We start from the raw sequence: 25,172 nt of genomic DNA, 5'->3' as shown, positions 1-25,172 counted from the left end.
TTCTATACCAGTACCATGCTGTTTTTGTTACTGTACTCTTCTAGTACAGTTTGAAGTTAGGCAATGACCCTTTCAGCTTTTTTTTTTTTTTTTCTTAAGGTTGGCTTGGCTATTTGGGCTCTTTTTTGGTTCCATTTTAATTTTAAAAAGTTTTTTTTTTCTAATTATCTGAAGAATGTCAGTAGTTCAATGGGAACAGCATTGAATCTATAAATTACTTAGGGCAATATGCTCATATTCGTGGTACTGATTCTTTCTCTCCGTGAGCATGGAATGTTTCTCCATTTGTTTTGTGTCCACTCTGATTCCTCTGAGTAGTTGTTTGTAGTTCTCCTTGAAGATATCCTTCACTTTCCTTCTTAGCTGTATTCCTTGGTATTTTTTTCTCTTTATAGCAAATGTGAATGAAAGTTCATTCATGATTTGTCTCCCTGCTTGCCTGTTGCTTGTGTATGGGAATGCTAGCTACTTTTGCAGATTGATTTTATATCCTGAGATTTTGCTACTGCTGCTTATCACCTTAAGAAGCTTTGGGGCTGAGACGAAGAGGCTTTCTAGATATAGGGTCAGGTCATCTGTAAACAAAGATAATTTGACTTTCTCTCTTTCTATTTGAATACTGTTTATTTCTTCCTCTGGCCTGATTTTCCTGGACAAGTTTTCCGAATGGGAGTTGTAATGCGAGTGGTGAGAGAGAGCATACTTTTCTTGTGCCGGTTTTCAGGGGGAATGTTTCCAGCTTTTGCATATTCAGTATGATATTGGCTGTGGGTTTGTTGTATATGGCTCTTCTTATTTTGAGGTATGTTTCTTCAGTTCCTAATTTATTGAGAATTTTAAACGTGAAGGAATGTTGAATTTTATTGGGTGCTTTTTCTGCATCTATTGAGGTAATCATGTGGTTTTTTTATTTAGTTTTCTTTATGTGATGAGTCACATTTGTTGATTTGCATATGTTGAATCAACCTTGCATCCTGGAGACAAAGCCAATTCCATTGTGGTGGATGCACTTTTTAATGTGCTGCTGGGTTTGGTTTGCCAGTATTTTATTGAGGATGTTTGCACAGTGTTCATCAAAGACATTGGCATGATGTGTTGTTGTTGTTGTTGTTGTATCTATGTTAGGTTTTGGTATCAGGATGATGCTGGCCTGATAGAATGAGTTAGACAGAACTTCTTTGTCTTCAATTTTTTTTGGATAGTTTTAGGAGAAAATGTACTATCTCCTCTTTACCTCAAGTCAAATTCAGCTTGCTTGGTAGGCTAGTTCTTACTGTCTCAATTTCAGAACACATTATTGATCTATTCAGGGTTCAGTCTTGTAGAGAGTTTATTTTGCAAGGAAATTGTCCATTTCTTCTAGATTTTCTGGTTTATGAGCATAGAGGTGTTTATAGTATTCTCTGATCGTTGTTCTTATTTCCATGGGATCAGTGATGATATCTCCCTTATTATTTCTATTTGTGTTTGGTTCTTTCTTTTCTTATTTATTTGCCTAACTAGTGTTCCATCTAGTTTATAAATTTTTTTTTTTTCATAAAAACAGCTCCTGGATTGGTTGAGTTTTTTTTTTTTTTTTTTGGAAGAGTTCTCAGTGTCTCTATCTCCTTCAGCTCTACTCTGATCTTGGCTATTTCTTATCTTCTGCTAGCTTTCAGGTTTGTTTTCACTTGGTTTTCTTGTTCTTTTAACCAAGATGTTAGGCTGTTAACTTTAGATCTTTCTAATTTTTTTTTTTCTTGTGGGAGAGTTTCACTCTGTCACCCAGGCTGGAGTACAGTGGCATAATCTCGGCTCACTGCAACCTCCACTTCTCGGTTTTAAGTCACTTCTGCTGTCTCAGCCTCCTGAGTAGCTGGGATTACAGATGTGAATCACCACACCTAGCTAATTTTTGTATTTTTTTGTAGAGATATGGTTTTGCTGTTGGCCAGGCTGGTCCTGAACACCTGGTCTCAAGTGATCTGCCTACCCCAGCCTCCCAAAGTGCTGGAATTACAGGCATGAGCCACCATGACCGGCCCTTTCTAGCTTTTTGATGTGGACATTAGTGCTATAAATTTCCCTCTTTTCTTGGTTTCTAGTGATTATTTTATTCTATCTTGGTGAGTAGTCAGGGAAATAATCTTAAATTTACAATCAACTTATAGTTTAAATCTAAATAATTAAGTGAGAAGAACCCTTTGTTATTTGAAGGGGATGTTTGAAGATTTTGTAACCGTGCCTTTTAGGTAGTCCTAAATTTCTAATTGTAGTTAAAAACATGCCATTTTCATTTCTAACATTTTAAGTATATGGTTTAGAAGTGGTAAGTATAGTTCTATTTTTTTTTGCAATAGGTTTTAGATAATTTTTGTCTTACAAAAGTAAAAGTGAATACTCATTAATTCTGAAACAAGTTAGTTAGCTTGCTTTAGTTAGATAGCAAGAGAAGGGTCCCTGGAAAGTCCCTGGCCCTTGGGTCAGTGTCTCATCCCTGCATAATATAAAAGGAATCCTGGAAAAAATCAAGCTGCAGACACTAACAAGGTAACTAGCACATGGTGTTGTGCTTGGAGACCTGCCCATGGCTGCACAGACAGAAAAACCTCTGGCATATTTGGATAAAAACTTGTACAAACCTCCAGCTCACTGAGATAAGGGAACAAGACCGACCTGGCATAGAAATGCCTTTGTTTGTCCAGGCACAGTGGCTCATGCCCGTAATTCCAGCAATTTGGGAGGCAGAAGTGGGCGGATCACCTGAGGTCGGGAGTTCGAGACCAGCATGACCAACATGGAGAAAAATACAAAATTAGCCGGGCATGGTGCCTCATGCCTGTAATCCCAGCTACTTGGGAGGCTGAGGCAGGAGAATCACTTAAACCCAGGTGGCGGAGTTTGCTGTGGGCCGAGATCGCACCATTGCACTCCAGCCTGGGCAACAAGAGCAAAACTACGTCTCAAAATAAATAAATTAATAAATAATAAGAAAGTACATCTCAAAAACAAAAATGAAAGAAAGAAAGAAAAGAAAAAGAAAAAAAGAAACGCCTTTGTACTTTGTGCAGTCAGTGGGCTCCCAGGAAAATGTTTCTTCTCCTTTTGTGGGCATAAGCACAGTGGGCTCTGGTGCATTCCGGTCGACACTCTCCTTTATTTGGACTGTAAGTCAGACCTCTGTGAATAATTACTTCAGCCCCTGATTGCTCCCGGGACAAGCTCCTGCGCCAAGCTTTCACTTTAGCTTCTGATAAGTCCTGGGCCAATCTAAATAGCATCTATGAATCATCCCTTCAGCTCCTGATTGGTCCCGGGTCAAAGTCCTGGGCCAAGCTGAGCCACACTTTTTTCAAGACAGCCTGTTAACTAGGCACATTTCCTTCTCTTCCTTTCCCAGTCCATAAAAACCTTGGGCCCCAGCCTCACAGAGGTCACCCCATTCAGAAACTATCTCTGCTGGCAAAGAGCTTTCTTCTCTTGCTTATCAAACTTTCACTCTAACCTCACCTTTGTGTTCACGCTCCTTAATCTCCCTAGAAGTAGAACAAAGAACTTTCGATGCTATCTCAGACTATGAGAGACTGTTACATCTTGGTGCACTGCTGAGACTACAACACTTGGTTTCTTTGAGTTTGACTAAATATTTTACATAGGTGTAATTATACAGTTTTCCTTTTTGACTGTCTTGTTTTACTTAACAGAATGTTTTCGAGATTTGTCCTTATTGTAGTACTTTTCAAGATTTCCTTATTTTTAAGGCTGAATGCTATCCAGTGAATATACGTGCCCTGTTTGTTGAATCTACTCATCCTTAAAGGTACATTTGCTTCCAGGTAGTATGTTTGTGAGTAATGCTACAGTGTACATAAATGTGCATATATCTATTCCATGTTCTGCTTTGCCTGTTTGGGATATTTTTCACACACTGATTTAGTACCATGTGTATTCCCTTGCTTTTGTTGTCTGATTCGTTGATGTTACATCCCCCAAATTATTGCCGAGACCAATTGTCATGAAGCTTCACCCTTCTGTATTGTGCTAGGAATTTTACAGCTATAGATTTTACATTATAGTCTTCATATTTTAAAATTGACACATGTAATTGTACAAATTTTGGGGAAACAATTATGTATATATGTTGTATAGCAATAAAAATCAGAGTACTTAGTGTAATTATTGCCTCATACATTTGTTATTTTTGTGGTGAGAACATTCAAAAGCTTCTTCTCTAGCTATTTTTTTATATCTTTATATATTAACTTTTTTTAGAGACAGGATCTTGCTCTAACACACAGATTGGAGTGCAGTGGTGCAATCCTAGCTCACTGTAACCTCAAACAATCTTCTAACCTCAGCTTCCCAATTAGCTGAGACTACAGGAACCTGCCTCCATGCCTGGATAATGTTTTAATTTTTCATAGAGACAGGGTCACACTATGTTGTCCAGGCTCATCTTGAACTTCTGACATCAAGTGATTCTCCTACCTCATTCTCCCAAAATGTATGGATGGCAGGAATGTGCCACCACAACTGGTCTCTTTTAGCTATTTTGTAATTTGAGATAACTTTTCATTAATTATTATTATTCTGCTGTGTAACAAAAAACAAAAACTTATTTCTCCTATCTAATTGTAACACAATACTTTTGAAGCTGCCTTTTCCCATCTCCCTGCTTCAGTCTCTGGGAACCCCTGTTGTACTCTTTGCTTATATCAACCCTTTTTTTCAGGTTCCTCAAATGAGTGAGATAATAAGATCATAAAGTATTTGTGTTTCTCTATGTGGCTTATTTTACTTAACATGGTATGCTCAAGGTTCATCCATGCTCTTTTAACTGACAGAATTTTATCCTTTCTTATAGCTGAATAGTATTTCACTGTGCATATATAGTACATTTTCCTTATCCATTTATCTGTTGCTGTACATTTGAATTGATTCCATATATAAGCTATTATAACTAGTTCTGTAACTAACATGGAAATGCAAATATCTTTTTGACACAGTGATATCCTTTCTTTTGTATATACATGCAGGAGTAAAATTGCTGGATCATGTAATACATCTATTTTTAATTTCTTTCAGAAACCTCCATAGTATTTTCTATAGTGGCCATACTAATTTACAATTCCACCAACAATGTATACATTCACTCATTTTATATCCTCATTAGTACTTGTTTTATTTATTTATTTATTTTTATTATAGCCATTCTAAATGGGAGTGAGGCGGTACCTCATTGTGGTTTGGATTTTCATTTCCTTAGTGATTAGTAATGTAGAACATATTTTTATGTTCCAGTTAGCCATTTTTGTATCACTTTTTGACAAACATCTATTAAGATCTTTTGCATTTTTTTAATTAGATTATAAGTGTATTTTATTTTGAGATTTTAAAGTTTCTTATTTATTCTGAATATTAGCCTTTTGTCATATGTATAGCCTGAAAGCATTTTCTTTTATTGCCTAAGCTGTCTCTTCAATCTTTTAGTTTTTTTAATATGGAAAAGCATTTTAGTTTGACATAATGTTGTTTGCTTATTTTTGATTTTGTTGCCTATGTTTTGACATGTTATTTTAATAATCCTTTCCCCGTCGAATGTTATAAAGCATTTTTTAGTTTTTCTCTAATAGTTTCATAATTGATAGCATTACATTTAAGTCTTTAGTTTGAATTGATTTTCATATATGGCAAGGCACAGGGGTCTAGTATAATTTTTCTGAATTTAAATATTTAAATGGCCCTGCATCATTTATTGAAGAAATTAGCTTTTCCCTAAAGTGTGTTCTTGGCAATTTTGTTGACAATCAGTTGGCTTTAGGTGCATAAACTAACTTCTGGGCTTCTTGGGCACATTAGTCTATGTGTTTGTTTTTATGCCAGTACAGTGCTCTTTTGGTTACTATAGCTTTGTAGCAAGTTTTGAAGTTTGATAAAGTGATGCCTTTAGCTTTGCTTATTTTGCTCAAAGTTATTTGTCTATTCAGAGTTTTTTGTGGATCCACATAAATTTAAAATATTTTTTCTATTTCTGTGAAAAAATGTCATTGATATTTTGATAAAAATATTACCTCCCACAGGGTCCCTCCCAGGACATGTGGGGATTATTACAATTTAAGATGAGATTTGATTGGGGACACAGAGCCAAACCCTGTCAATTACTTAAATCCAGGAGTTCGACACTACCCCGGGCAATATTGTGACAAGCTATTGGTAAAAAATATTTTCACAGATTACTCAGGCATTGTGGAATGTTCCTGTAGTCTCAGGAAGTTGGAGGCTGACGTAAGATTATTCCTTGAGTTCCCCAGGAACTTGAGGCTGCATTGAGCTATAATCATCGTATTGTATTCCTGTCTGGGTGAGAGAGTAAGACCTCTTTTTAGAATTTCAAATTTATTTTAGATTTAGGAGGTACCTACACAGGTTTTTTACATGGGTATTTTGTATAATGCTGAGGTTTGAAGTATGAGTAATTCCATCAATCAGGTAGTGAGCATAGTACTAAGTAGACAGTTTTTCAGTTCTTGGTCCCTCCCTCTCTCCACCCTCTAAGAGTTGTCTATTATTTTTGTTTTTCTGTCCATGTGTACCCAGTGTTAATTTCCATTTATAAGTGAGAATATGCAGTATTTTCATTTTCCATTTCTGCATTAATTTGCTTTGTATAATGGCCTTTAGTTGTGTTAACGTTGCTGCAAAGGAGGTTTTTTTTGTTTGTTTTTGCTAAGTAGTATTGCTGTACATGTGACACTTTTTAAATTCAATTTACCATCAATAGGCTGGACATGGTGGCTGATGCCTGTAATCCCAGTGCTGTGGGAGGCCAAGGCGGGTGGATCATGAGGTCAGGAGATCGAGACCATCCTGGACAACGTAATGAAACCCCGTATGTACTGGAAATACAAAAGTTAGCCAGGCTTGGTGGCATGCGCCTATAGTCCCAGCTACTCGGGTGGCTGAGGAAGGAGAATTGCTTGAACCTGGGAGGTGGAGATTGTAGTGAGCTGAGATCGTGCCACTGCACTCCAGCCTGGGCAACAGAGTGAGACGTCATCTCAAAAAAATAAAAAATTACCATGAATAGGCACGTAGGTTGATTCAGGTCCTTCCTCTTATGAATAGTGTAGTGATGAACCAACAAGTGCATGTGCTATTTTGGTAGAATAGTTTATTCTCTTTTGGGTATATACCCAGCGGTGAAATTGCTGGGTTGAATCACAGTTTAACTCTCAGTTATTTGGAAAATCTCCAAGCTGTTCTCCACAGTGGCTGAACTAATTTACATTCCTATTAACAGTGTATAAGTGGTTTTTTCCCTCTAAAACCCCATCAACATCTATTATCATTTTACTTTTTAACAAAAACCATTCTAACTGGTGTACAATGGTGTCTTATTGTGGTTTTTATTTACATTTCCTTGATGGTTAGTGATGATAAGCTTTTTTCATGTTATTTGGCCACTTGTATGTGTTCTTTTGAAGAGTGTCTGTTATTGCCCACTTTTTCATGGGGTAATTTTTTCCTTGTGAATTCTTTAAGTTTCTTATAGATTCTGAGTATTAGATTTTGTCAGGTTCATAGGTTATGAATATTTTTGCCATTCTGCTAGCTTTGGGGTAAGTTAGTTTTTATTTTTCTAGTTTCTCTAAGTGTGATGTTAAATTGTTAGTTTGAGATCATTCTAACTTCTTGATGCAGGTATTTAGCACTCTCAACTTTCCTCTTAACAGAGCTCTTCCTACAACCCAGACATTTTGTTATATTGTGTCTCTTCTATTTCAAAATCTTTTTAATTTTCTGCCTTAATTTTTTTGTTTATCCAAAATTCATTCAGGAGCAAGTTGTTTAATTTCAATATCATTCTGTGATTTTGTGAGATTTTCTTGGTATTGATTTTTATCTTTGTTCCATTGTGGCCTGTCATATTCTGTGAGCAGATGAGAAGAATTTACTTTCTTTAGATGATGTGTTGCATATACTATAAATGTCTATTAGTTTCAATTGATCAAGTGTCGAATCAAACTCCAGAATTTCTTTGTTAAGTTTCTGCCTAGATAATCTGTCAAACACTTAGTGGGGAGTTGCATTCCCCTACTATTATTGTGTGTCTACTTGAGGCTTATTGTAGTTCTAGCAGTAATTGTTGTATAACTCTATGTTCCCCAAAGTTGGGTGCATCTACATTTACGATAGTTAAGTCTTCTTGTTGAATTGAACCCTTTATCGTTACGCAATACCTTTCTTTGTTTTATTTTACTATTAATGATTTAAAGCTATTTTTTCTTAAAAGAGAAACAATTCCAGGTATGGTAGCTTGTGCCAGCACTTTCAGACTGAAGCAGTCGGATTGCCTGAGACCAGGAGTTTGAGACCAGCCGAGGCAACACAGCAACATACTGTTTGTACAAATTTTTTTAAAGAAACTATACAGGAGGGGTAATGTGCACAACTGTGGTCATATTTACTCAGGAGACATAGGTGGCATGACTGCTTGACTTCCGAAATTTGAGGTTACAGTGAGCTGTGATTCCACCAGTGTACTCTGTCCCAGGAGATAAAGTAAGATCCTCTGCATAAAATGAAAAAGTAAAGAAAAATAAAAAGATTTTAAGTTAAAAAAATAATTCCTAGATCTCCACTTCTTTAGGTTCACTTGAATATATATTTTTCTCCTTTGATTAGGTTATATTTCCTGGTTGCTTTTACTTACTGTAGTTTTGTTAAGGTTTTGATCAATTAAGAAACCACTACCTATTTTATCCTTTATGAAAGAGCTTTATACATGGGAAAATTGACAACATTCAGCCACAGTAGTCATACTGGGAGCTTCTCCAATCTGTTGTCAAAATGTGTCTTCTTTGGACTACTGTATGTATTTTCTTGTTAATAAGGTTTACCTCTGTTTCCTCTTAGGAGCCTTTAGTCTCTTCCCTTCGTCACTGTTGTAGGCACTACAGTCTCTGTTGTTGTAAGAAGCATTTATCTTTATTCTCAGTTGACCCAAGCTGTCATTTAAACTCAGTCTCTATTCTCATCAACACTAAATGTTAAAGGAAGCAATTTCCAGTCTTTAGATAACCCCGGTATAACTCAGTAAGTCAGAAGTTTGCATACGCATTTCACTCTTTTTTCTTTCCCAAAGGAGAATCATGGAATGGACAGATTTTTATCTAACTGCGCTGTTCTGTAGTGCACAAATGTGACCAAATTTTCTTCTAAATGTGGTTATGGTTGGCTTTTTTCTCATGTGGGGTGCTACAAACTCAACTGGCTTTGTTCGCCCAATTGTAGTTAAGTTCATATGTCAATGGAGAGAAACAGGATCTCAGGTTCTGCTTCAACTGTCATTGTCTTCTCAGCTGACCTCATTTTGTACATTAGATTTATAAAATATATTTACTTTAATCTCATCACCGAATTTTTAAAAAAATTATTATTTTTCAGCTCTTTTAGCAATATATCCAATCAAGACCCAGAGAAAACAGTACATAGAAGCTTCTTTTCAAAAAGTAATATTGGGAAGATATGGGAGCTCTGGCCTTGAACTTTTACACTTAGGAGAGTGGGAAATTGAAGGATAAGTGTAAACGGCACAAAGTATGCTATGATGAATATACCAGATACACAGCAATTACCTACAGCAAAAATGTCACTGCTAGAAGAGCTCAAAACCATAAAGTATTTTGGAAAAAGCATAATTAATGTTGATTCTTTTTTCTGAACTATATATTTATATAATTACATACCAATAACAATTTTTGAAACATATCATGTTTTTGAAACAAAATTTAGAAAATCGCAATAGTGGCCTAGGCCAGGAATATTTCTTCTAATGCTATCCCTCCCATAGTCCCCCACTTCCCGACAGGCTCCAGTGTGTGATGTTCCCCTTCCTGTGTCCGTGTGTTCTCTTTGTTTAACTCCCTATTATGAGTGAGAACATGCGATGTTAGCTTTTCTACTCTTGTGTTAGTTTGCTGAGAATGGTGGTTTCCAGCTTCATCCATGTCCCTGCAAAGGACATGAACTCATCCTTTTTATGACTGCATCGTATTCCATGATGTGGACATGCCAAGTTTTCTTTATTCAGTCTATCATTGATGGTCATTTGGTTTGTTTCAAAGTTTTTGCTCTTGTGAACAGTGCCATAATAAACATACGTATGCATGTATCTTTATAATAGAATAATTTATAATCCTTTGGGTATATACCCAGTAATGTGATTGCTGGGTCAAATGGTATTTCTCATTGTGGATCCTTGAGGAATCACCACACTGTCTTCCACACTGGTTGAACTAATTTACACTCTCACCAACAGTGTATAAGTCTTCCTATTTTTCCACATCCTTTGTTGTTTCCTGATTTTTTTAATGATCACCATTCTAACAGGTGTGGGATGGTTTCTCATTGTGTTTTTGATTTGCATGTGTCTAATAACCAGTGATGATGTCCTTTTCTTCATTTGTTTATTGGCTGCATAAATGTCTCCTTTTGAGAAGTGTCTGTTCAAATCCTTTGCCCATTTTCGATGTTGTTGTTTCTTTTTTTCTTGTAAATTTGTTTAAGTTCTTTGTAGATTCTACATATCAGCCCATTGTCAGACGGATAGATTGCAGAAATTTTCTCCCATTCTTTAGGTTGCCTGTTCACTCTGATATAGTTTTTTTTGTTGTGCAGAAGCTCTTTAGTTTAATTATATCTCGTTTGTCAATTTTGGCTTTTGTTGCCATTGTTTTTGGTGTTGTAGTCATGAAGTCTTTGCCCATGCCTATGTCCTGAATGGTACTGCCTTGGTTTTCTTCTGGGGTTTTTATGGTTTTAAGTCTTATGTTTAAGTCTTTAATCCATCTTCAGTTATGTTTTGTATAACGAGTAAGGAAGAAGTCCAGTTTCAGTTTTTTGCATATGGCTAGCTAGTTTTCCAACACCATTTATTAAATAGGGAATCCTTTCCCCATTACTTGTTTTTGTCAGGTTCATCAAAGATCAGATGATTCTAGATGTTGAGTGTTATTTCTGAGGCCTCTGTTCTGTTCCATTTGTCAATATATCTGTTTTGGTACGAGTACCATCCTGTCTTGGTTACTGTGGCCTTTTAGTATAGTTTGAAGACAGCTAGCATGATGCCTCCACCTTTGTTCTTTTTGCTTAGTATTGTCTTGTCTATGCAAGACCTTTTTTGATTCCATATGAAATTTGAAGTAGTTTTTTTTCTAATTCTGTGAAGAAAGTCAATGGGAGCTTGATGGGGATAGCAATGAATTTATAAATTACTTTGGGCAATATGGCCATTTTCATAATATTGATTCTTCCTATCCATGAGCATGGATTGTTTTCGTTTGTTTGTGTCCTCTTTCATTTCCTTGAGCAGTGGTTTGTAGTTCTCCTTGAAGTGGTCCTTTACATCATTTTTAAGTTGGATTCCTAGGTATTTTATTCCCTTTGTAGCAATTGTGAATGAGAGTTAACACATGATTTGGCTCTCTGTTTGCCTATTATTGCGTATAGGAATGCTTGTGATTTTTGAACATTGATTTTGTATCCTGAGACTTTGCTGAAGTTGCTTATCAGTTTAAGGAAATTTTGGGCTGAGATGGTAGGGTTTTCTAGATATACAATCATGTCATCTGCAAACAAAGACAATTTGACTTCTTCTCTTCCTATCTGAATACGCTTTATTTCTTTCTTTCTTTTGCTGATTGCCAGAACTTCCAATACTATAATGAATAGGAGTGGGGAGAAAGGGTGTTCTTGTCTTGTGCAGGTTTTCAAAGGGAATGCTTCCAGTTTTTGCCCATTCAGTATGATATTAGCTGTGCATTTGTCATAAATAACTCTTATTATGTTGAGATAGGTTCCATCAATACATAATTCATTGAGAGTTTTTACCATGAAGAGGTGTGGAATTTTATTGAAGGCCTTTTTTGCATCTATTGAGATAATCATGTGGTTTTTGTCATTAGTTCTGTTTATGTGATGGATTTTATTTATTGATTTGCATATGTTGAACCAGCTTTGTATCCCAGGGATTAAGCTGACTAGATCGTGGTGGATAAGCTTTTTGATGTGCTGCTGGATTCGGTTTGCCAGTATTTTATTGAGGATTTTCGCATCGATATTCATCAGGGATATGGGCCTGAAATTTTCTTTTTCTGGTGTGTCTTTGCCAGGTTTTGGTTTCAGGATGATGCTGGCCACATAAAATGAATTAGGGAGGAGTACCTCTTTTTCTATTGTTTGAAATAATTTCAGAAGGAATGGTACCAGCTCCTCTTTGTACCTTTGGTAGAATTCGGCTGTGAATCCGTCTGGTCCTGGACTTCTTTTTGTTGGTAGGCTACTAATTACTGCCTCAATTTTAGAACTTGTTATTGGCCTATTCAAGGATTCGACTTCCTACTGGTTTGCACTTGGGAGGGTATATGTGTCCAGGAATTTATCCATTTCATCTAGATTTTCTAGTTAATTTGCAAAGAGGTATTTATAATATTCTGTAATGATACTTTTTATTTCTGTGGGATCAACGGTTATATCCCCTTTATCATTTCCTATTGCATGTATTTGATTCTTTTCTTCCTTATTAGTCTGGCTAGAAGTTTATTTATTTTCTTGATCTTTTAAAAAAACCAGCTCCTGGATTCATTGATTTTTTGGACGGGCTTTTTGTGTCTCTATCTCCTTCAGTTCTGCTCTGATCTTAAATCTTGTCTTCTGCTAGTTTTTGAATTTGTTTGCTCTTGCTTCCCTAGTTTTTTTAATTGTGATGTTACGGTGTCGATTTTAGACATTTTTCTGCTTTCTCTTGTGGGGATTTAGTGCTGTAAATTTCCCTTTCAGACTACTTTAGCTGTGTCGTATTTTACTTTTTAAGCCCTCAATCTTCCTTTTTCATCGTGATAGTCTTTACTGTTTTATGTTTATGTAATGTAAAATTGACTACACAATTTTTACAAAGATTTTATGAAAATATTTTATTGAGAATGTACAAACCGTCAGTCAATTAGAGGAGAAGTTACACTGTCATAATAAATAGCCACAAAGCAAAACGCCAAAAGACATCCAAATCAGAATAAAACAAAACATTTTAACAAAAACAAAAAGAACAAACTGGCAACAAATATGTGAAGTTTATATTACAAAGATGCTCACTTATCCACTCTAAAGAGAGCTTTTAGAATTTGATTTAAAATACGGCAAAGACATTATCCCACACTTCACAGAAAAAATAAATTTAAGCAGCTGTTAACACATGAATGTATTATCAAGCTCAGATATAATCAAAATTAAATATTTGACAAGAGATTCTACAGTTTGGGAGAAATAGAAGTGTTTTTTTCTTTTCCCCAGGCCCACAAGTCTAGTTTCTTGTTCTTCTTCACTATAATGGGGTTTGTCATCAGCTCCCCAAAATATGGGAAGCACAGAGCAGGTGGTGGCTGAAGGTGGGGTATCCTGTGAAACCATATTTAAGATCAGAGCCCTTGGTCCATTGTGTTGTAATCAGCTGGCTCAGGAAAGAACACCTGGCTGTCCAGAGCTCTACACCTACTGCACTGGGTGTGAAAGGAGGCCTGAGAACCCATGGGTCCCAAACCCACCCCACTCCAAATTATCATCCAGTATTGAGAACTCTGACACCAAATTCTCACAGAGCATATGTTTATGCAGTTTTACATTTAATTTCTCATTACATTACAATTGGGAAACTGAGGCCCCAGAAGAGGCAGAGACTGGTCCAGATCTCAGGAGGTGGGCAGGCTCCAGAGCATTAGAGAGGGCTCCAGCTTCCTAGGCCTTGGCACCGTCCCACTTATCAGGTTTGTTTTCGAAATTAGAGTCTGTAGCTACACATTCAGGAGCACAGAAAATGAGCAGATTCAGGGTTCTGTTCACATGGGGTCCTCTCCATGTCAGTTTCAAGATAACAGGACTGGGGTTCTGCATCCAGCTCTGAGGGCAACTGGAAGTAAAATGAGCTATGCTCCACCTCAGCCTAATGTAGACAGTGCCTACAGGAAAGCTTGTTTTCTTCCTCATAAATAGGGGTGCCTGAAGTGGGTGACCTTGATGATTTCACATACTCATAAGTGTCTGCCAGCCTGGATTCTTGCTCTGAGACTGCAAAAATGCACCCACTCTGCAGATCCTTCAAATCAGAGGGAGGCATGGCCACTTGAGAGGCATCTTGGGTAGATGAAGATGAGACAGAGTTAAATGTGCCAGAGCACTGGACTCTGAGGCTGAGGTCCACGGAAAATCTCAGCTACTGTTGCGTTCTTAAGGTCCTCATTTGAAAGTGGTAGAAAATAATTTCACTGGATAAGGGGAGGATACCTCATGAGTAAATAGCACAACCAAAAAGGTGGAGGCAAAGAGAGGGCAAAACGGGATTCCTAGTTCACTCATTATACTTGGGGCCTTCAGATCCTGCTACTTTATCCCCTAGGACCTTGAAGAACCAGTGTCTTGAGGACAGAAAAATCAAGGTATCAGATTTGTTCAGTAGTGCTCCTGCTTGGGGCTGTAGGGTTAGTGATGGCCAGGAGGTGGTTACAGCCTACTGTGTTTCTGGTGCCCACTGAGCTTTGCTGGAGCAGCTGGAACAAGTAACAGTCACACACCTCATGTTGTTATCAGTGATGTCCACATTATCAGGTGGTCAAAAGGGGAAGGGATATTAGGGATCCCCCATATAATCACTTAGCCAGTCTTTTTTCCCTTGCGCTCACCATTTGCCAGCGACCCTGGTGGGTCCAACATGTGGTACAGAAAATTATTACTTCATGTCTGCACCCCCCAACCCAGGACCAAACAATCTGAGGACCGCTGGACAAAAGCACTAAAGCAAGTATATGTGAAAGAAAAGAGCAAGGACTATAATATAAAGTAGATTATTGAGAAGAAAACCTGGAAAATTATTGCATGGGAGGACCTCAGGCCTCACTGAGGTGACTTTTAATCCATGATGAGGATGACAGCAGGGAGGCATCTGCACAAGCATGTGTCAGGGAGAAGCCACCCTTAGTGAAAAAACTCATAGGTGTGAGTTTGGCAGAGGTAAAAAGGGACTAGTTTGGCTGCAGACAGCCTGAGAAAGAGATAAGCAGAGGGATGGAGAATCCTAGGGCCTGGGAGATGAGGTTAGATATCTGCTCCTTTCTGACAACATTGCCCTAAAAGTCAGCACTTTTCAACAACATATAATATCTCATAATGTGTGTGGACCAGAATCTGGACACAGCTCAGCTGGCTACCTCTGCCTTCAGGTCTTTTATGAGACTGGGGGCTGTGGTCTTAACTGAAGCTGGACTGGGAAAGCATGAGCCTTTAAGCTGACTCATGTGAAAATTGACAGGGTTTAGTGTGGCTGGAGAGCCTGACTTTCCTTCTCTCTACTCGTCTGAGCACCCTCTCACCCTTTGTTATGTGGGTCTCTACATGGAGCATCTCATAGCATTGGAGCTTGCTTCCTGTGTTTGAGGAATACAATAGACAGAATTAGACAAAAAGGTTTACACAAAAAGAGACAGAAAGATCGAGGGCGCAAACGAGAAAAACCCAGTAGGAGAAAAATTAGAGCTTTAAAAACATCTTGACAGGGTGCGGTGGCTCACACCTGTAATCCCAGCACTTTGGGATGCTGAGACGTGTGGATCGCCTGAGGTCAAGGGTTTGAAACCAACCTGGACAACATGGTGAAACCACCGTCTCTTCTAAAAATACAAAATGAGCTAGATGTGGTGGCGCATGCCTGTAATCCCAGCTACTTGGGAGACTGAGGCAGGAGAATCAATTGAACCTGGGAGGCAAAGGTTCCAATAAGCCGAGATCACACCACTGCACTCCAGCCTGGGATACAAGAGTGAAACTGTGTCTCAAAAAAAAAAAAAAAAAAAAAAAAAAAGAAAGAAAGAAAGAAAGAAAAAAAACTTGAGAGTTACTATAATTTTTCTTCTATATTTGTGTTAAAATTGTAACCCCGGGCGTAATGCTATAAGGAGGTAGAATGTAATTAAACCCTTAGGGTGGGACCCTCATAATACAGATTACTGGCTTTATACAAGAAACCGCAGAGGGCTCTCATCCTCCTGCAAAATGAGGGTAAAACCTGAAGTGTGCAGGCTGAAATTCAGAAGCCAGTCATCACCAGATCTCAACCATGCTGACACCCTGATCTCAAATTTGAACCTCTGGAGGTATGAGAAATTAAGTCCTGTTGTCTATATGCTGCCTATCTATGGTTCTTTGGCATAGCAGCCTGAACTAATACAAAAGTGATATCCTTTTCTGTGTTTCATTGGAGAGAAGCTGAATTTGTACCCCCTATACTGTTAAAAAAAAAGACTTAAAAAATGGATCTTCAGAATGAAAGATAGGAAACGGCTTGTTGAAACACTAAAAATTTAACTGCTATAAGTTTTTTAAACATTGGCTGAAATTGTTGGAACCAATATTGCCAACTGAAGTCCATGAAGCATCACTTTGCAGACTTTGGAGCCCAAATTTCCATTGTGTGCTTCATACTAACTCTCCCTGAATTTGTATGTGACCTGTGAGGAAACAAGAAGAGATGACTGTATATGTCTCATGACTTTCCATATTCCTACTTTCCTTCCAGCAATCCCCTACAGAACCCACCTATTAGGCCTTTTCTAATCACTGCCTTAAAGCCAGTATGACAAAACAAATTTGATTTGAACTCCTATCTCCTTGTTAGCCAACATACAAGATGATATTTTCCTCAAAACCGAAGGGCCATAGTACTGGCATCAGGAAGTATTCCATTTTATTCAATAAAAAACTGAGTCACTCAATACCTAGTACTGGGAGACTTTGTGAAGACTTCCTCTGTCATAGACGTGATAAGGCACATGGATATGATTCTAAATATAAAGAGAAAGCACTAGAAAGTTGAATTCCTGTATTAGATCATTCTCATACTGCAATGATGGAGTACCTGAGACTGGGTAACTTATAAAGTAAAGAAGTTTAATTGACTCACATTTCCACATAATTGTGGGGGCACCTCAGAAACCTTCCAATTACAGTGGCTGACAAGTGAAGTGAGTGAGAGCATGGGATGTACCAGATGCTTATGAAACTATCAGATCTCGTGAGAACTCACTATCACAAGAACAGCATGAGGAGAACCCGTCCCCATAATCCAATCATCTCCCCTCAGGTTTTCCCTTAACACCTAGGGGTTATAATACACAATGAGTTTTGGGTGGGGACGCACAGCTAAACTATATGAATGCCAGAGGACAGTATCTACATTTAATTTCAACTTCATACTGGAGCAGAATGAAAATGAGGCCCAGTGGAGAAGTGATATTTCCAAGATCACCCTGGCAGACACCAGGCCTGTTTGAGTTGTGGCCCATGCTACCTCCCACCTATTCTCCTAATGCTTCCATCTCTAAGTGTATGCATTATCTACAGGTGACACTACATCATTATTTTTATGTCTTATCTTATATACACCTAATACATTCCCTAGGAAGTAGATGTTAGCATCATCACCAGTGTGCATGTTAGGAGGCTGGGGAAGCCTTGAATACAGTGACTTTTACTGGGTCCCAGAGATGGTAAGAAAAACAAGGTTATGTTCCAGCTGTCTCTTCTATCCTGGAACCCAGGTTGCATTTAGGTCTTTCCAGGGAATTAAGGGGAAGTTGTGTTTGCATAATTGTGTACAAATAAAGAGTTGACATGGAAGAGGAGACTGAGCAATCAGTAGCATAGTGGGGCCTTTCGGTATGTCTTACAGAAACATGGGGCCCAGTAGATGGAACCTTGAAGAGTTTAACATACTTTCTTGGTGTCAGAACCCAACAGCAGTTAAGAAACCAGGAATCCACATTCTTGAGACAGCTCTGTATCCACCTCTGTTTGTGAGAGTTGCTCAAGAGAGTGAGATGCTCTTTCATTGTGCCCTGAAATTTCTGAGTTTCAGCCTTACAAAGGCTCAATGTAAAAGTCTTATCTGATAACACAGATGTCAACTGAGCCCTCATCACTGATGTCCCTGGCTTTTGGCCGGGTGCACCTACAAATAACACAGGGCAGCCCAGGACAGGCCCCTCCACGCCAGCCTCTCTTGTCAACTCATCTGGGCAGTCCCACACCACTTCTTAGTACCATGAGTTGGATGGGGAGCAAGAGGGAGGGCACTCTTCTTGGACTGAAGTAGATTGTCGGGTGTTGGAACTCTTGTGTACCTGTCATGTTCATACCTAGGCCATAGCTGGCAGAATAAAAAGAAGAGGGTTGGAGAACGAGTCTGTGTACTCAGATGTGAATTCCAAGACTTTAACTTGTCCTCTGGTTTCCTTCCTTCATGGAGATTTATACAGATTCTCCTTATGTGCCTAATCTGAAGAGAAGAATTTCTTTTATTTTCTTTTTTCTTTTTTCCTTTCTTCTTTTCTTTTTTCCTTTCTTCTTTTCTCTTTTCTTTTCTTTCTCTTTCTTTCTTTCTTCTTTCTTTTTTTTTTCTTTCTCTTTCTTTCTTTCCATCTCTCTCTTTCTTTCTTTCCTTCTCTCTCTCTTTCTTTTTTATTTATCATGAAGTCTCACTCTGTTACCCAGGCTGGAGTGCAGAGAAAAGCAGAATTTCTAATGGAGGTGTCACATACGGTCAAAGCAAGGAAGAACACAGACTTTTCTTTGCGTGGTTTCTAGGCACATTTACAAAGCTGCATTCAGATTGATGAGGAGCTTCATCATTCAGTTTAATGTGGCCAACTCCTCCCTCTTTTTGGAAAAAGAGCAGGTGCACTAAACCAGCAAACACAGCCAGCACTGGGCTGTGCTGAGAGCAGCCACATAGGGGTCTCTACAGACAGAAAGCTGAGAAGACAGGGAAAGAAACAGGACCCAGACTCAAATATGAAAAATCTCTGGGCTTTGTCCTACGGCCTTCCCATGAGTAACTCATAGCCTTGTTCCAGTGGAATCTGGCCTTCACTAGTCTCAGTGGCAAGTTGGTTATGTGGAAAGTCTCTCTTCACACACTTGTGCGAATAACGGTAAAGAATTTTGTATAGTTTTCACTTTACATTAGGCCATGAGTATTTATGCCTGTGGCTGCAGTTTGTGTTAGTTTCCGGCCCCACGTATCTCCTGCAGCATGCAGCTTCAGTCCTATCGGACCCTCAAAACTTAAAAGCTAACACTATTACTAGGGAGGATTTCGCAGGAAAATGGAGAAAGGGTTACACACAAAAAAGGTTAAACTACTCTATGCATGTTTCTGCAATGTGTTATCTCAGGAACTCATTTCTGTAGCCCATCAGGGCAGGAGCTGGGCTCTCACCTGTTGATAATATTCCATAAGGGAGGTTCTTCCCCACAGTGTTTAGTCTCCCGACGCTGGTACAGCCTGACATGATGACATTCTACTTTCATGTCGGTCATGCTGCAGGGAAAATTCTGAGTGTTCTAATAGGCTGGAATCATTTGCTAGGGTGAACCCCATCTTTGGTTCTCACTTTTCTGTTATCTTGTAATTAGCTTTATTCTCAGCAAATCCATGTCTATTTTATTTATCTGTTTATTTACTTATTTTTATGTATGGAAAAACACTTTTTTTTATTTACTTATTTATTTAGAGACAGGTCTCCGTCTGTTACCCAAGCTGGAGTACTGTGGTAGAGTGCTGTGATCATGGCTCATTGCAGCTTCAAACTCTTGGGCTCAAATGATTCTCTCACCTCAGCCTCCTGTGCCACCATGCCCTGCTAGTTGATTTTAATTTTTTATAAAGAAGGAGACTCATTAGGCTGCCCAGGCTGGTCTCAAACTCCTGGGCCCAAGCAATTCTCTCATCTCAGCCTCCCAAAGCACTGGGATTAAAAACATGAGCCACTGTACTGAGCTGTGCCTACTTCAAAAGACTGAAAATAAAAAATCAATAAATCTTTGCCAAATTAAAAAACAAAACAATAGTTTCCAGGTCTTAGACAAAGACAATTCTGTGTCATGAAGAGTGGCAAAAGGCTTATTTAGCTGTTAAAATGATTTGCTTATATTTCAAAGAAGCAGAGAAAAAAAGATACATATAAAAGTTTTCCAGGCCAGGCACGGCTGTTCATGCCTGTAATCCCAACATTTGGGGAGGCCAAGGCAGGAGGATCTCTTGAAGCCAAATGTTTGAGTCCAGTACAGGCAACATGGTGAAATTCTGTCACCATAAAAAAATAAATAAAATAAATATGGCTGGACATGGTGGTTCACGCTTGTAATACCAGCACTTTGGGAGTCGGAGGCAGGTGGATAATGAGGTCAGGGGTTCGAGACCAGCCTGGCCAAAATGGTGAAACCCTTTCTCTCCTAAAAATAATAACAATAAAAAATTAGCCAGGCATGGTGCTGTGCGCCTGTAATGCCAGCTACTCAAAAGGTTGAAGCAAGAGAATTGCTTGAACTTGGGAGGCGGAGGTTGCATTGAGCTAAGATCATGCCACTACACTCTAGCCTGGCCCACAGAGCAAGACACTGTCTTGAAAAAATAAATAAATAAATAAATAAATAAATAAATAAATAAATAAATAAAAAGTTAGCTAGGCCTGGAGGTGCATGCCTATAGTCCTAGGTAATTAAGAGGTTGAGGCAGGAGGACTGCTCAAACCCAAGAAGTTAAGGTTATAGTGAGCTATGATTATGCCATTGCACTTCAGACTAAGCAAAAGAGTAAGATTCCATTTCAAAAAATTACTAAAAAAAGTTCTCTAAATTACATTGTTTAAGAAAAGGGAAAAGAAAAAATATCTTTTTTAATTTTCAAATGGGAGAATAGAGCCTCTCATTTCTAATATGTATTTCCTTCTGCAAAAACATGGTCTAGGCCCATGGTCTTGAACTACTGGACATCTGAATTTTAGTAGGTGCTGGATTCAGGCAACTGAGGGGTGGCTTGGACACACTAAGTGCACGTAAATAAAAGGTTTGAGGTGAACTAAAAGGTAAAAGAGGGGAAGGTGCTATTAAGAACCCACAGTTGGGAGACAGTACAGGGTTGGTGGAAGGACTGGTTCATGCTACAGATACTGACCCAGGTGAAACTTTACTCTGACTTATTTCTGTGTCCATGCAGGAAGACGAGATTATGATCAGGTGGCACAGAAACCTGGGATGGTGAAAAAACCAGGTTGCCCCTGCAGATTCGGTGTCTGAGGTAGAACGTATGCCAGGGGTCTTGTAGGCACATGTGTGGGTTTTTGGTGGGAAAGTCTATGAGGAAAGGTAGCATGGGCAACAATCTTGATGCCAAAGCCTTGTCCTGAGAGGGGCTTGGCCACATCAACATGCAGTGTGTATGTTCAGTGGGTGAAAAACCTGTGGTGGCCTCAGGTTGGCAGGAGGGTAGAAGGCATCTGTTCTCAGAACTTCTTCCCTCAGAGTCGTCGGTCCTTCTTACCATGGGAGAATGCCTGGAACCACAGGGCAGTGCATGGTGTAGCAGCCTGTGTGCAGAGCAGAGCCTACCTTCCCCGAGACACCTGGAGTCTCTCTCCAGCAGAGGCCCCCACATTGTCTTTCTCCTTACAACACTTTTGATCCTAAATGTGTAAAGTTCCCTGAAAACCCACTGCTTCTCCAACACCCATTTGTTGCCCCAAAATTTAATTCTGACACAACTTAGAGTTCACACAGATCCCAGAAATTCAGGGCTCAGTCCCACATCACCCCTCTCACTGTAGAGGAGAGTTACACATCCCTGAAGCCCATCTACACTTCTGAGCTACCTCCTATAAATCTGAGACTAGCATAAACCCCTTTTCAAGTTAAATAATTTGATAGAATTACTAAAAAGAAAACCTCAACAAATAACTGTAATTATATTTACTACTTTATTATAAAAATATAACTCAGAAACAGCCAAATGGAAGAGATGTCTAGGGCAAGGAACAGTTGTGGGTGAAGGCAATCCTGGAAATAGCTATATTTAAAGAAATTCCCCCATTCTTTGCATTCTCAAAGAACAGCTTAGTGAAGAGAAACGTGCTTCCCCTGATGACTTTGAGGATGCTCCCTGCTGTTTTTTTAACCTATCACAAAAATGGACACAGATTGCAAATTCCCATTTTTAAAAATGAACAACCATTCAGTAATTTAGTCTTCAGTGGTCCAAATAACATACTCTTAAAGAAACTTTGCTTGTTTCTCTTCTTCCAACCAGCCCCTGAACTTTGACTCACCCACAGCTTCAGCAAACCTACAACCCTTATTTATACATACCCCTCCTAAGAACAGGCTGAGTTCAAGGTGAAACATTATCTTATCTGGGATCGCATTTTGCTACCCTCCATCGTGTGCTTCCTTTCCAACCTTCTTTGTAAACTTGTTTTCTCCTCCCTATGAAATAAGGCCCTTTTCCACCTAACCTTAGAGATACTCAAAGATCTAATCATTTGTACTTTTTCTTTGTTGCAATACTTCTTAGGTAACTTCTTAGACCAAGTCTAGAAACAGTCTGAGGACAATAACAATTCCATTCTAAAAAGAATCTCCCAACATTTCTTCTATCTCAACCTCAACTGCATCTGCCTGTGAACTTCCAGCTTACCAAGGCTCTATATCTTCTGGCAGTGACAAAGGCTCCTTCCATGGTTGGTGTGAGTAGGCTTGGACACCTGCAGGGCAGACACCCAGGAATAATCAACTGGGCCTTCAGTGGTCCTCTTTTGCAGGGTCAAGGTGGGCCTTAGCTTTTAGTCAATGGTCTAAGACTTCTATTTACCAGTTAGTCATTCAGTTAGTTTTCAATTCAAAAAATACTTCATGTTTGAAGAATCCAGCAAAAATTATTCAAATCTAAGATATAAAAGAGAGGAAATTACAGCCGGGCATGGTGACTCATGCCTGTAATCCCTACATTTTGGGAGGCCTAGGCGGGCAGATGACCTGAGATCAGGAGTTTGAGACCAGCCTGACCAACATGAAGAAACCCCGTCTCTGCTAAAAATACAAAATTATCCAGGTGTGGTGTTGTATGCCTGTAATCCCAGCTACTCGGGAGGCCGAGGCAGGAGAATCGCTTGAACCCAGGAGTTGGAGGTTACAGTGAGCAGATGTCTTGCCATTGCACTCCAGCCTGGGCAAGAAGAGTGAAACTACATCTAAAAAATAACAGAATAAAATAAAATAAAAACATTATAAGGGGCTTATATCTTATAATTCATCAAGAAAAGCCAAAGTATCTATCCCTTTCAGAAAATAAACATGTAATTTAATTATGTTCAAAACAAATCATTTAGTAAACAATTAATCATATGTGAACACTTCCAGGAGGTGCAAAGTCCCAGCTCCTAAAACTTAACATTACCCTCAAACACCCAGATGGCAGCATATGGAATAGAGTTATTCACTTTCACAAGTTCTCTCTTTTGAAAAAAAGAATAACTTATGTGATAAATTTATGTAATTTGACAATTAATCTACCTCATGTGCTTGCAGATATGTATTCATTTCCTACCACCGTAGTGGAAGAGAGATTTTCCCTATCTTTACAACTGATAGCATTTCCAACAGTAAGCTGTGAGATTCTGCTTGAAATCACCTCTCAAACAAATAAAAAACAGACCTGGGAGACATGCTACACTCATTCTGCTGAGGAAATAGGTAAGTAACAATTTTTAACAAATGAAATACATTACTACTTAATTTTATTCAAAATTCACCAACTTAATGTGCTTTATAAATATTCTCATACCTTTGAAGCTCTACTGATAAAACATAATTTACAGTTAATGAAAAAGTGAAGTTAAAATAAATACAATCATATTTTCAAGGTGACAAAATTAGAAGGTGACAATGGTGATTGAAACACAGACATATCTGACCCAAGGGTCAAGTCAAGCCGTTCTATTACTTGGGATATTTTCCCTGCTTCTATCTGGTTCAGTGATGTGGGTCATGAGCGTCCTACCAGGAGCTGCTACGCTCTGCTCCACTGTGTCTGTGAGGTGCATTTTACTTTGCAGGTTTTTGCACTGCCTCACTAGGTTGGGTTTCTTTGTCCTTTGAAATATTTTCTCTCCCTTCACCAATCTGAGGACATTTTTTCCTCACTATTCAGCATCCAGTTGCCTGGCATGCAATGTGTCTCTAAGGAATGGAAACTAAGCGTTGGGGTAAGAAATTCTTAATGTCCTAAAGGGTTTGCTTTTAGCGCAAATGTATACGTGGAGATTCCTTCCAGGTATAGTGCATCCAACCACTCCAAAAAGAGGCTGCATTCCCATACCTTGGGCTGTTCCCTGAGAGGAGATGACACAAGGGATGTTATTTACTAGACACTTCAAGAGTCATGGCCAGTGTTGGTATCTTGGGGATTCTCAAACAGTTTTGAAACCCAAAACCAAGAAAATAACACAAGATGGCTGAGGATGTATTGCCCTGTGAGGTTTCTGAAATGAAACCTCAACCCAAAAACATTCTGATGGGGTGTCTGTGCCAAGGGAAGATTAAAGAAAGGGGCACAAATATTTTCTTTTCTTTTCTTTTCTTTTTTTTTACTGTGGATTGTCAGGGGATTATTATCTGCTTTCATGTCCTGTAAAATGTTTACAAATGAAAAATATTTTTTTAAGTGTCATCCACTGCTTTTTGAAAAAATGCAGAATTAAAATACTGTGTCTAAAATGTACAATAAAGAACAGTTGATAATGTTGTGAGTTACACAAGGTTAGTTAGTGTTGGTAAGTGTCAGGAAAGAACTGGAAATTTAAACTCTGACAGCAAGCCAGAGTTAGGCTGGGGTAACAGGGTGGTAGATTTGAGGCTCTTCTTGCCACACATTTGGAAAATGCATGAGAAAACTAATTCTCTTTTGGAGCATTAAAACAACTAAAAAACAGGCAATTGCGTTGAGGTGGCTCTAGTGTCCTGAGCTCTGAGTAGAGAGACAGGCAAAGGCATCCCTAGATCCAAAAAGCTGCCCATTCTTCTCCAGCTGTGCACCTGATTAGATAATTTCCACTCCAGCACCCATGATTGGATATAGTTCAATTCCCCACCAAGCCCCCTCAGGCCATGAGTGACATATGTGATTTGACACTGGATTGAATAAAGCAAGAATTATAAGTTTTTCCTGGATCCTTTTCTGGCAGGGCTTCCTTCATGCACTGGACACTGGCCCTGCCTGTAAAATACTTGCATTTTCATTTGTGTGTAAGATTATTTGT

General features: G+C 38.7%; 1 long non-coding RNA gene across 6 annotated transcripts in view; it reads left to right on the top strand.

Annotated features, from left to right (window-relative positions):
* The window catches only part of LOC102724701 (uncharacterized), a 441,766-nt gene that overhangs the window by 412,142 nt on the left and 4,452 nt on the right, over window positions 1-25,172 (top strand). For 2 of the 6 annotated variants that reach the window (XR_001755106.2, XR_001755107.1), the window contains exons 2-3: window positions 22,430-22,683; window positions 23,443-23,607. This is a non-coding gene — a long non-coding RNA (uncharacterized LOC102724701). Of the gene's footprint in view, window positions 1-3,740; window positions 3,800-6,843; window positions 6,869-22,429; window positions 22,684-23,442; window positions 23,608-25,172 lie in introns of those variants that run through there. The other 4 variants (XR_001755113.2, XR_007067796.1, XR_001755109.2 and 1 more) reach the window with 4 other exon arrangements.

Source organism: Homo sapiens, chromosome 21, assembly GCF_000001405.40.
Source record: "Homo sapiens chromosome 21, GRCh38.p14 Primary Assembly".
Classification (NCBI taxonomy): domain Eukaryota; kingdom Metazoa; phylum Chordata; class Mammalia; order Primates; family Hominidae; genus Homo; species Homo sapiens.
This window is presented reverse-complemented; position numbering and strand designations above follow the sequence as displayed.